This window comes from Homo sapiens, chromosome 8, assembly GCF_000001405.40.
Source record: "Homo sapiens chromosome 8, GRCh38.p14 Primary Assembly".
NCBI classification, from domain to species: domain Eukaryota; kingdom Metazoa; phylum Chordata; class Mammalia; order Primates; family Hominidae; genus Homo; species Homo sapiens.
In genome coordinates this window covers 37444282-37457120 of record NC_000008.11, presented here as the reverse complement: position 1 = coordinate 37457120, position 12839 = coordinate 37444282, and the positions used below count along the sequence as shown (strand labels likewise).

Genomic DNA, 12839 nt, shown 5'->3' with positions numbered 1-12839 from the left:
AAATCGTTCTTTGGCACATCATAGTCAAACTGCTGAAAACCTAAAAGATGAAAAAAATTCTCAAGAGAAAGGACACAGTATATACAGGAGGACAATGAGTCAATGGAGGACAGAATATAATAAAGGACCACCTTCGAAATTATAAAAGAAGAAAAAGACTTGCTCACCCAGAATTTATATCCAAGTGAAAATATTATTTAAGAATACAAGTAAAAAAGAGACATTTTTAGATAAAAGAAAACTAGCTGAGTTCATCAGACCCACACTACAAAAAATGCTGAAGAAAGTTCTTTAGGCTCAAAGGAAGTGATATCAGATGGAAAAGTGGATCTTCAGGAAGGATGAAGAGCATAAAAATTGTGCAATACAGCTGGGCATGTTGGCTCACACCTGTAATCCCAGCATTTTGGGAGGCCGAAGTGGGTGGATCTCTTGAGCCCAGGAGTTCGAGACCAGCCTGGGCAACATGGTGAAACTCCATCTCTACAAAAATACAAAAAAATTTAGCTGGGCATGATGGTGCACACCTGTAGTCCCAGCTATTCTGAGACTGACGTGGGAGGATTACTTGAGGCTGGGGAGGTCGAGGCTGCAGTGAGCCGTGATTGTGCCACTGCACTCCAGCCTGGGTGACACAGTGAGACACTGTCTGAAAAGAAAAAAAAAAAAAAGAAAGGTAAATATAAAATACTCCTTTTTTATTTATTTCCTTAAAATGCATGTGACACATTTAAAGCATAAAATATTGCATCAACTTATGGGGTTTATAACAGTAGATGTGACACAAGTGACAGCAACAGCAGAAAGGATGGCAGAGATGGGAAACAGACCTATAGAGTCATGGTCTTTTTATATTTCGCATGAAAAGGCAAAATAGTAATTCTAGTCGATTGTGAAAAGTTAAGAATGTATATGATAATCACTAGAAAAAACAAACAAAAATAATGCAATGAGTTATAGAAAAGCCAACAGATGCATAGAAGAGATTTATTTTTCCCTGTCCCTCTCTGTCTGAAAGTCATCTTGATTACTAGTTGTCAGTGGAAACTGAAGAATGCCTTCATCTATTCATTCAGATGTGTATCCATCCAATAGATATTTATTGCACAGTGTTGAGATTTTCAGACACTGTACTAGGCTTTGAGGATATAAATAAAATAGCACATAATCCTTGCCTTCGAGGAACTTTGTCCTTCTCCCGCATAAATTGCTGAAGACTCTTCTGACTTCTGCACTGGTGGAGTCCTCAATCTTGTCATTTTGGGGGCCATTTAGGGAAAGAGTTAGTGGGAGCCTCAAAAACACCCATCTTTCTAGCTTCAGGTAATAGGTGCTCTAAGCAGACTTTCTACATGGAGAGGATGATGTTCTCTGATTTCTTTTCTAGCTGTAGTGGGAAAGGTCTCAATGAGATGGGAGGTTTGGAAGGCTGAGGTTTATGCCCTTGACTCAGAGTGAGAAGACGAGGTTCCAGTCCTACCTACTGCTTGCTCAGCTGCGTGACTTAACACAATTCACTTACACTCTCTAAGCCTCAGTTTCATCAATTGCAAAACCGGCTAGTAATCTCTGCCATTGCTCTTAAAAGAGGTAAATCTAGATCTGTTTCCTGGGTTCCAAGGTCAGTTTGGCTCAGGGGTCCACATGCAATATTTTAAAATCACGTAGAAGTAGGTGTTCTGAAACCAATTCTCCAACTTGAGTCTTGGGCAGAATGACTGAAGACATTTACTCGGAAGTTTATGTTCTTGATTCAATTTTGTTTTCCTGTAGGATTTAATTTGATAGAGTGGAATATGCATAGGCTTTGGTTTAAATTCTAGCTCTGCACTCACTAGGTATGTGACCTTGGATAGTATACTTCAGTTTTCTCCTCTATCTCACGGGGATAATAATGCTTAGATTGTATGGCACAGAGGACCAGCTGTCCACCAAAGAGTCTTGCTTCTCTTCTATAGTTTCTGGAAGCTGCTCAGCTAGTGCCAAGGAATTGCATCTGGGAGTGTGTCTATGATTAATTCTCATCAATCCAACGTGAGCAGAAGCTGATGCAGTCTACTTACAGGGCAGCCCCCTCCCCACAAAGCCCTTTCCTCGACAAACCTCCATGTTCTTTCCCCTTCAGACCTGGCACACAGCAAGAGCACAACAAGCTTGGAAGCCACATGTTGGAGATGGTAGAGCCACAAGGTTCAAGGCTGCTGGGGCCCTTAGTTACTACCTGGAGCAGAGCTACCCCACTCCTACAGATGCCGTTTTAGAATAAGCATGAGTGACAAATGCATTTCTATTGTGCTAGAGCTGTCATACATTTTGGGGTTTTTTTTTTTTTTTACAGCGTTACCCTGTTCATTTAGAAAGCACAAATTACGTAAAGCATCTGGCGTGTTATCTGTCACATGGCAGGGTTAAATAAATAAAAGTGCCCTTCTGCCTGACGAGGATATTTTTATCAGATTGGATGAGGAGTTGACATCATTCTTGCTTATGTTGTATTTTTGTCATCTACACATGCGACTCTCATTTCCCAAATAAGCCAAGCAGAGGTAGTAATACCAACCGCCCTCCTAGAGTCATTGAGAAATAAGTGACTACTCAGCAGGAATGTGAAAGCTGTGGCTGAGAGTATTCCAGAAACATCAGATGATAACTGGATGGGGCAGGTGAGACTAAATGAAACTCAAAACAAAATCTTTCTTGAAAGGAGCAAATGTTGTTGGACCATTATCAGACAAGGAGTTTGAGGAGAAGCTGTTTTCCCTTAAGAAATCTTTCTGTTGAGTGCCCTTACTTAAAACGCATGTGACACATTCAGTTAGAAGTGTATATTCAGTCACTGACAAAGATGGGTCTTTGACCATCAATTACAGCTTCAGGGCAGGCTTGGAACTGAAAGGATGAAGGACTGTGTGACCATCTCCAAAAAACCAAACCCAGCAATCACGTAGGTCCAAGGGCTCAGGGCAGTAAGAAAGCACCTTCCCCGTAGCCCACCAGGCAAGGCCTTGGGATGGGTGGAGGGGACGTCTCTTTGCTCACCTCTGGTACCTTGTTGCCACCTAACACTGACTCTTCCTTGCGTTTGTGTCATCAGGCCAGCCTAGGCAGATACCCAGAGCGGGTTCTGTGGCCCCTGGGTAGGTTAGCAATGTTTTCTGCCCTGGGGGCTGGGCCTGCCAGCACAATGGTGTGCAGGGCAGGCCTCTGAGAACTTGGAATCTGATTAGGCAGCTGTCACATAGCCCCAAGGCAGTGTTCCTCAAGGGTGGGCCCAGCAGCAGGGGCTGAGGCAGGGTTTGAACTGAGGGCGGAAGTCAAGAAGCACAGAGAAGGGGAGATCTCTCCACAGCCAGAGGAAGGAGGAGCCAGCAGTGGAGGATGCAGGCGCTGCTGAGTGCCCGCCTGGCTTTTGGGGCCTCGTCCCCGCACAAGGAGCCTGCTCCGGGTTGGTCGGAGCATCCTGCCAGGCCCTTCCAAGGATGGGCAGTGCAGCCCAGCCAGCACATTCTGCTCAGCTGGTTTTCCTCCAGCTCTTCTCAGCGCGTTGTTACTTCTGCTGGGCTTAGCACATCTCCTCATCCCTCCCCCGGCTCAGTCCAGTGCAAACCAATTCTCCAGGCAGAGAGGAGTATTGGGTTCAGATCATCTCTTCACGGCTGCTTTCAGAGCACTGCCTCTCCTGCTTTCAGCCCTGCAAGTGGAGCGTGCGGTCCCCTATGGCATGGACTGGCCCGTCGCACACTCAGCAGCCTCCCCTTCCCAGGGCTTAGTTCAGTCCAACCAAGAGAACTGGAGAACCTGATCCACGCCTCCTTGTTCTAACTCACTTCTGCTTGACTACCTTGCTTTTGTTACTCAAAGTCTCTCTCTCTCTCTTCTCGTCTCCCCCTCTCCTTACAAATGCCTTTGCAGCGGCCCTGGGAGTGCACGGCAGCACCAATAACGTCTCCATGGTTTCTTGTTAGCTGCTCTCTAAGCAGGAAAGTGACTCGGCCTGACAATATAATTTACATTGCTGTATAAAACTATCTGTGGAAGCCAAGCTAATTTGTGCCAGATTAGGCTATTTGTCTCAGCCACTGTCTAGCAGCACAATCTATCAGAGGGCTGTTTTCAAATATCGCTTTTCAAGCGTGCCCTTGAGAGGCAGAAATTGATTGGGATCTTAGAGAGCAAAATTACAGCAATAACTTAAAAGAAACAATAATTACTGAATCATACCAGTGTCAGCACTCTGCAAAACACGAAATAGCCATCAAACCCCAATCCAATATATTCTGAAGCGAATTTATTGAATGGAAAAAGCAGTTGAGTGAGGGTTTTTCTCCCCCTCCTCCCCTTCCCCTGTACATATGGTTATCTCAAAACCGCAAGTGAATGAGTCGATAATTCTTGTCATTGACTGCTCCATTTTCACGGAGTTAGAGGAGATCCATTAGCCGCCCCCTGCCGCACCGTCTCCCTCTCTCCCTCGCTCCCTCTCTCTTTCTTCCCATTGCCTCTATTCATTTGCTAGTCTCTGCTCTTCAAGCAAACAAACATGTATAACTAATCATCTGTTAAAATGCAGAGGGCCCCTAATAAATCTCCGCAGTTGAAATACTTTAATGGGTAATTAATTGATCCTGTTCCAGAGGAGTAATAAGATAATAAATTAGACAATATTTCACTCAGTCGTGGCAGGCTCCTAGCTAATGGCGCTGTAGGGCTAAGCTGAAGGATAATAAATTAGCCAGAAATTAACTGCTAAGAGCTTTCTGCAGAGAAATCGGCTGACAAGTGAGTCACACGCGTGATTCAGGGCTTGACTGGTGCGGTGGCAATCTCGGTGAATATGAACTTGTGCTTCTGGAGGGGGCCTGGGGATCGGGCATGCTCAGTGGGCCCTGGTGGGATTATGTCCCCAGCCTGAGAGAGCTTGGTGGGCTACACCCCGAGTGCGTACAGCTGACCTGTGTCCTTTGCTTGCACGCTGACCCGGTTCCTTGGAGCTGAAAAGTCCAGAACATCATGCCCTCTCGAAAATAGTCTTTTCCCAAGTCATCAGACTTGCTGAGTTTTTATGGATTTCACCCGCAAAACCTTCAGCCACCAAGCTCCATCCAGTGCTTCCTCGGCAAATACATAAATAAGGACGGATTGAGCCTCATACTCTGTTACCAGCGAGGGCATCACAAAAATTAAGCAGAAAAAAGAGTAGGGAGGATGGAGTGACTTACATTTTTCAACATGTAAGAAGTATTTGTTTTGGGGTATAATGGAGAAAAACTCTTGGTTTTATTGAGGAACTTGGGGAGGGCGATGGGTCTTAATAGGCAAGAAGTTAGACCTGGACGGTCAGGTGGGCCTTTTCTTGAGGAAGTAGCAAGTCAGCTTCTCCATGGAGGAAGGCCTTGGCGTAAAAGTGGAAGGTTGGAGGAGAACTCAGTTGGTTATCTGAGGTGGTATGAGTTCTTTCTTGCTCTTTTTTACTAAATAGCTGTGTGACCTTGTGTAGTCTACCTCAATACTCCGAGCTTTGCTTTGCTTATCAGTAAAACGGTGATAAGATGAATAAATTAAATAAGTCGGCAAAACTTCCAGTTCCATGTCTCATCCATAGGAGAGGCAAATTTAATGCTACTTATTACCTGGGGATCAGTGGGAAAGGTTATCATTTATAAGCAAGGGAGATGGCAGACAAAGAAATGAAAGGTGACTGGCAGTGGGAGACAGCAGGCTCCTCCACTTAGTCTGGAATAAGAACCTGATCACTTGTACCCACACCCTGCAGCCTGTCCAAACTGAGGTGAGCTCACCTTCTGCCAGAACAGTCTCTCATTGCTAATGGTAAACGTGGGTGGATTAATCTTCTGAGTCATGGTGATTGTAGCAATGTGGGTTGAAGGCTTAAATTGAGCTTGATTGTTTAAATGAGATAATGTAGACACTAAAGGATGTGGAGCCCGGAAAGGAGAAAGTCAAGGGTGACTCCTGGCTTGGGCTGTGGGCTGCATGCAGTTCCTGCTGTCTCTGCATCACAGTGGGAGGGAACACTTGTCCTGCCAGAGGGGCCCTGGAAAATGCCTGTGCTGATCTTTGAAGCCTGGAGCTGGCTTCCATTGCTGCTTCTGCTGCTGCTGCTGGAGCCACAGCTGCCCGAGGAGCCTGCTGTCGTGGCTTCTTCTAGTTCCTCACAGGGTCCCTGAGTACAACAGATGCACACATGCCTTGCTCTTGCCCATGCATCTTGTCCTTTGCCTCTTACCCTGGAGTTTTCTGTTGCTGTTTAGGCATGAAGTGAACACTGCGGCTCCCACTTAGCACTTGGGCACGTGCATCCTTGAAGCACACTGGGGTTAACACCCTGGGCGGGGAACATACTTTGACCAATAGGAGACGGCCACCAGTGGGTAAATTGTTCTCCTTTTCTCCCCTGCGTGGACTCTTTGAAGATGGAGTGGCTTCCCTCGGCCTCTTTGAAGATATCCTTTGACACCAAGCAATCAGTTTCCATAAAGCCGTGCCCCACTCAGCCAGGGTCCCCTCTTCTCCTGACTCTCCCTTCTTCCCAGCTCCTTCCTTTTCTCCCACTCCTGCTTTCCTGAGACGGCATTCCCTAATAAAGCACTGGCACACGAAACAACCAAAAAAGAGACAACGCCCGTGAACCCATGGCCTGTCCTTGTGACCATCGGGAACGGTGGCACTGGCACCCCCTGCCTTGCGTCAATGCTCTTCATCTTTCCGGGAGGGCATCCACCTGGGCAGTTCTTGGAAGACAAGACCCTGCACTGTCTCTGGTGGACTTCAGGGTGGCTGGGAACCACAGTCAGCAGCCCCAGGACTGTTCTTATTCTGAGGGAGATGCTGGGCCTCCTGAGGGCCTGGCCTGAAGGACTGTAGCAGAACATGTTCACCTGGGAGCTGCACACTGCCTAACTGAATGCAACAGGAGTTTCCCAGATAGAAATGGCCAGGTGGGTGGAGCTCACACGGTAAGGGCCCATTAACTGACATTTATTTTAAAAAATAAACACGCCTGTAATCCCAGCAATTTGGGAGGCTGAGGTGGGTGGATCACTTGAGGTCAGGAATTCAAGACCAGCCTGGGCAACATGGTGAAACCCCACCTCTACAAAAAATACAAAAGTTAGCCAGGGGTGGTGACATGCATCTGTCTCAGCTACTCGGGAGGCTGAGGCAGAAGAATCGCTTGAACCTGGGAGGCAGAGGTTGCAGTGAGCCGAGATCAAGCCACTGCACTCCAGCCTGGGCGACAGAACAAGACTCTGTCTAAAAAAAACCTCCAAAATCCAAAAACAAAAACATGTCCTCCTTCATTCTTTGCTGTTATATGTGGAACGGCTTCCTGACTCCCATCAGCCCATCCTCTTCCAGGCTAGTTCTTTGTACCTTGAGGCTGCAGAACTGGAAGAGAGGTTGAAGCCACTAAACTTAACTTCAGCCTCAGATGAAACAGGCCAGTGGATGGACTGCTGAGCTTGGAGTACCATTTCCTGTATTTGGATCATCAGACACTTTTAAAAAAAATGAGTGGGTGCGATGGCTCACACCTGTAATCCCGGCACTTTGGGAGGCTGAGGTGGGAGGATAGCTTGAGGCCAGGAGTTTGAGACAAGCCTGGGCAACATAGCAAGATCCCATCTCTACAAACGTAAAACCAAAACAACAAAAAAAAATTCTCTCTCCAAGGTTTGAGCTGTGCCCTGTGGAGAAGCAGGTGGTAAGTGTACTTTCTTTTCTCTAGGTAATTGACAACCGTTATATGGCCCCTAAGCCTTCTCTTTTTTTCAGGCTAAACATGCCCAGTTCCTCTAACAATTACATATGTGACATGTCTCCTTCTTTTTGGGAAATAAATGCAAATAAAAATACTCCAAACCTATATAGGTGGCTTGATTCATATTCAGAAAGTGGACACCCAGGGATGGCTAAAATGGGTGGTTTTACCTGGAGCTATGACCCGAATCAGAACACCCACTCCCTCCAAAGTAACCACTCTTCTGATTTCTGTGCAAATCATTCCATTGCTTTTCCTCATAGATTTCTAATTTATATATTCATTTCCAAACCATATGGTTTGCCCATTTTAAATCTATACATGGGTGACATCATCCTATATGTACACTTTTGTGCCTTTTTTTTTTTTTTGCTCAATGTTATGTTAATGTGATTTATCCATGTTTTTGCTTACTGGTGTAGCTAGTTCATTTTTTACTGATCCATAAAGTTCTGTACATTTTATATGTATATGTAGATGTACTTTTATTGACCTGTGCTTCTTTATTGATTATTCCATGATATAAATGTACCATAATTTATGTAATGTGTTCTATCACTGATGAACTTTTGAGCTGTTTCCAGTTTGGGGCCCTTATGGACAGTACTGTGATGAATATTTATCTCAGTGTACATGGGCTTGCATTTCACTAGGATGCATACCTAGGAGCAGAATGCTGAGTAATAGGTCACATGCATCCTCACCTTTACCAAACTGGGGTCCAAAATGCTTGTGTTACATTACAATGCCATCAGCAGAGTAGGCATGTTTCCGTGGTACACCCAAAGGTGTGCTGTGCAGATTTCCCTTCCAGAAAGACTTGCTGCCCAACTCAGCTCCTGCAGAGCCTACCTCCACTGCAGAGCAGCCTTTCCCAGGGTCTTGCCCTGCCTGGGACAGCCTGACAATTTGTTCCTTTTCATTGAAGTAGTATTCCATTGCATACACAAATCACAGTTTATCCATTCTCTTGTTGATCGGCTTTTGGACTGTTTCCAGTTTTTGGTAATGAAGAACAAAGCTTCTAAGACATACATATTCGAATTGTCATTGTCACGGCTGTGTGGGGTGGAGGTGGGAAGGCTTGGCCACTGTGTACCACTGTGGGATGATTCTGATGGGCAGCACTGGCTCCGGAGTGTGGTCTATCTGGGCTCCTCTGCCTCTTCCTGCTCCTCCCCTCCTTTCATAGGAGCTGATCCCTAATAAACACTTCCTACACCAAACTCTGTCTCAGAGCTTGCTTCCTGGGAACTCAAACTGCAACGGTTACTGGACTCTATCCTTGCCAGTGTTTGATATCAACAGACTTTAAAAATGTATCGCTAATCTGGTGGGTATTTAAGGGTAGCTCATTGTGGTTTTTTCCTTAATTAAAAATTTAAAAATTAAATCCTTAATTAAATATTTTAAGCCTTTACAATTATTGAGGTATAGACGAAAAACAGTAAAATAATCCCCCTTTTGAAGTGCACAGTTGGATGAGTTTTCACAACTGTATGCTGTCATACAGTCACCACCATAATCAGATGCATTTATATCGCCCAAAAAGTTCCTTCATGCCTCTTTGCAGTCAGTCCCCTGCTCCTGTCACTGATCTGCTTTCTGTCACTATAGCTTTGCCTTTTCTTCCGGTGGAACCAACTAGAACACACTCTTTTGTGTCTTGTTTCTTTCACTTAGTGGACTGCTTTTGAGATGCATCCATATTGCTGCATGGATTGGCAGTTTGTTCCTTTTCATTGCAGAGTTGTATTTCATTGCATACACAAATCAGTTTATCCATTCTCTTGTTGTTGGGCTTTTGGAATGATTCCAGTTTTGGGTAATGATGAACAAAGCTTCTAAAGCATACAGTGAGTCTTTTTGTTGATATATTTTTCATTACTCTTTAATAAATGTGTAGGAGTGGCATTGCTGGGTCATAGGGTGTAATTTTAACTTAATAAGAAATCACCAGTGGTTTTCCAAAGTGTTTTTTTTTTATTTTATCATTTTAAATTTTACATATCAGCAGTCTGTGAGGGTTCTGGTTGCTTCACATTCTTTCCAATGCTTGGTATTGTCAGTCTTTTAAATTTTTAGCTATTCTTGTGTGTGTGTGCCTTTGTGCAGTGGTAGCTCATATTTTAATTTACATTTAAATAATGCAAAATGGTGGCTAATGATGTCGAGCATCTTTTCATTTGCTTATTGGCCATTTGTATGTCTTCTTTGGTAAAGTATCTGTTTAAATCTTTTACCCATTTTTAAATTGAATTGTTTACTTAGAATTGATAAAAATTCTTTATATATTCTGGATACAAATTCTTTATCAGATATGTATTTTGCAAATAGTTTCTTCCAGTCCATGGCTTGTAGTTTTATTTTCTTAAGAGTGTCTTTTGAAGAGAAGTTTTTCCCTTACATGATGGCTCATGTCTATAATCCCAGCATTTTGGGATACTGAGGCAGGAGAATTTCTTGAGGCCAGGAGTTTGAGACCAACCTGGGCAACATGGTGAAGCCCCATCTCTACCAAAAAAAAAAAAAAAAAAAGAAAAGAAAAAAAAAGTTTTAAATTTTGATAAAGACCAATTTATCATTTTTTTATGCTTTGAGTTTTTTGTGCCTTATCTAAAAGTTATTCACTTACCCCAAATTATGAAGACTTTTTCTTATGTTTTCTTCTAGAAATTTTATAGTTTTATATTTCTTATTGTGGTTTGAATTTGTATTTTCCTGATTTCTGATGAAAAGGAGCACTTTTCATGTTTATTTGTCATATAGATTTCCTATTTTATGATGTGTCTAAGCCTTTTGCCCGTTTTCTGTAAAGTTTTCTTTCCCTTACTGATTTTTAGGAATTGTTATATATTCTGGAGAGAGTCTTTTGTCAGTTTTATTCATGATTTATATTTTTTCCCACTCTGCGACTTGCCTTTTTAATATCTTTATGATGTCATTTAGTGAATAGAAGTTCTTAATTTTAAGGAATTTTAATTTATGTTTTAGTTCTTTCATGATTAGTACTTTCTGTCCCCTGTTTAAGAAATTCTTTCCCACCCTGAGGTCACATATATATTCTCCGATATCAGAGCTTCTCAACTTTCTCAGTTCATGATACCCTTGTGTGTCAGTTATTTTTTCATGGAAGGCCTAGGCCAAAAGAAATACCCAAAATTTCCATTTATTAGGTAGTTAGTTCCAAGCAACTTAATAAGCATTTATCTTCTAACAACTTGGTAGTCATTTGAAAAAATAATACAAATTGATTGAAAGAAAAACAATGAATTTTTTCATCCTTAAATGATTGCATTTACTTACTAAGGGGATGTACAACTTCTCAAGTTTTAGAATATGACTGGATATTACCATTCTGATTTCCTATTTCATATTGATTTTTATGGGATGTTTGTTTCTTATTATAGCAACTGCTGAAAGCCTAATTTTGCAAAGACTTAATGCCATTGAGGGGACCGTTGCTCGATTTAATATTGAAACTGTCTAGAGCTAATCATTTATTCAGTGTCTGACAGGGGTCAAGGATCCCTGTGTTTTCTTCAAAAATTTAAAATATCCCATGGCACCGCTGTGAGTTCAACACGATGTCCTGGGGGAACCTCAGTGAGTAGTTTGGGACTGATGGTTTTATATCCTGTGTGAAACTCTCTATTGCTTTGCTTTTTATACTTAGGTCTTTAATCCATCCTGAATTGGTTTTTGTGTATGGTGTGAGTTAGGGATCCAATTTCTTTTTTTCCACCAAATGTATATGTAGTTCTTCAGATCATTTATTGACAAATATATTGCTTTCTCATTAATCTGCAGTGACACCTTTATCATATATTAAATGTGCATATATGTGGAAGTTTTCTTTGATCCAAACCATCATTTTTGAAATACATTTTCATTTGATATAGAATTTTGGGATGATAGTTTTTCTTTTCCTTTTGGAGCTTTAAATATATCTTTCCACTGTCTTCTGGCTTTCACTGTTTTTTTTTTTTTTTTTTTTTTTTTTTACATGACGCTCAGCCGTAATTTCTATTGTTGGTTCTCTGTACGTAATATACCATTTTCCTCTGACTGCTTTCAATATTATCTATTTATCATTAGTTTTCAACAGTTTTATTATAACTTGTCAACATGTGGTTTTCATTGTAACTAACCTTCCAAGGGTTTGCTGAACTCCTTAGATCCTTATGTTTTTCACATAAATTTGGAAAAATTTTACCATATGTCTTTGAATATTTATGTTTCCCCATTCTTTCTCTCCTTGCCTTCTGGAACTCTAATTATCCATATGTTAGATATCTTAACATTGTCCTGCAGGTGATTGAGGTTCTGTTCCTTCCTTAGAAGACTTTTCCTTCTTTTTGTCCAAATTGGATAGTTTCTAATGAGTTACCAGCAAGCTTGCTGGCCTCATCTTTCATTGTCTCCAATGTGCTTTTAAGTCTATCTAATCATCTTTTCATTTCAGATATTGCAATTTTCAATTCTAAAATTCTCATTTGGACCTTTTCTATAGTTTTCATTTCTCTGTTGAGATTCCTATCTATTTGTTCATTATGACATTAATTTCTTAAAGTCCTTGAACGTATTTTTAATGGTTTCTTTAAGTTCTTGTCTGCTAATGCTAACATCTGGGTCATCTGGTGGTTGGTTTCTATAGACAACATTAAATTTTTTTTTCTTGACTCTAGGTTACATTTTTTAAATTATCCCCCATATATAATAATATTTTACATATACCAGACATTGCTGATAAGACATAGAGATTCTGGATTTTGTTATCTTTTTCTGAAGAATGTTAATTTTTATTTCAGCAAGTAGTTAACTTGGCTGGGCTCAGCTTTAAACCACCTTCCTGGAATAGGCAATAGTTTAAATCCTTGCTTGTTCTTTCAGCCTAGCCTTATGGTTGTTGTTTCCCATTGTTCTCCGGATCTCCCTGACATATGTGCAGTTCAGGAGTTGGTCAGGGTTTTGGGTGAAATTATACATCAATTCGGGGGCCCTCTTCATTACTTACTCTTCTCCAGGATTTCACCTCTTACTACGCAGCTGCTCT

The 12839-nt window shown here is 42.0% G+C and overlaps 1 long non-coding RNA gene across 8 annotated transcripts in view, besides 1 other annotated feature; it reads left to right on the top strand.

Moving 5' to 3' along the window:
* LINC01605 (long intergenic non-protein coding RNA 1605) overlaps nt 1-12839 on the top strand; it is a 196324-nt gene that overhangs the window by 142719 nt on the left and 40766 nt on the right. The window lies entirely within an intron of this gene.
* Nucleotides 3415-3992: an enhancer, noted in NCBI's record as "H3K4me1 hESC enhancer chr8:37310647-37311224 (GRCh37/hg19 assembly coordinates)". NCBI's record gives its function as "activates a minimal SCP1, AML or CMV promoter by ChIP-STARR-seq in naive H9 embryonic stem cells {active_cell/tissue: H9 hESC(naive)}" and the evidence as "EXISTENCE:reporter gene assay evidence [ECO:0000049][PMID:30033119]".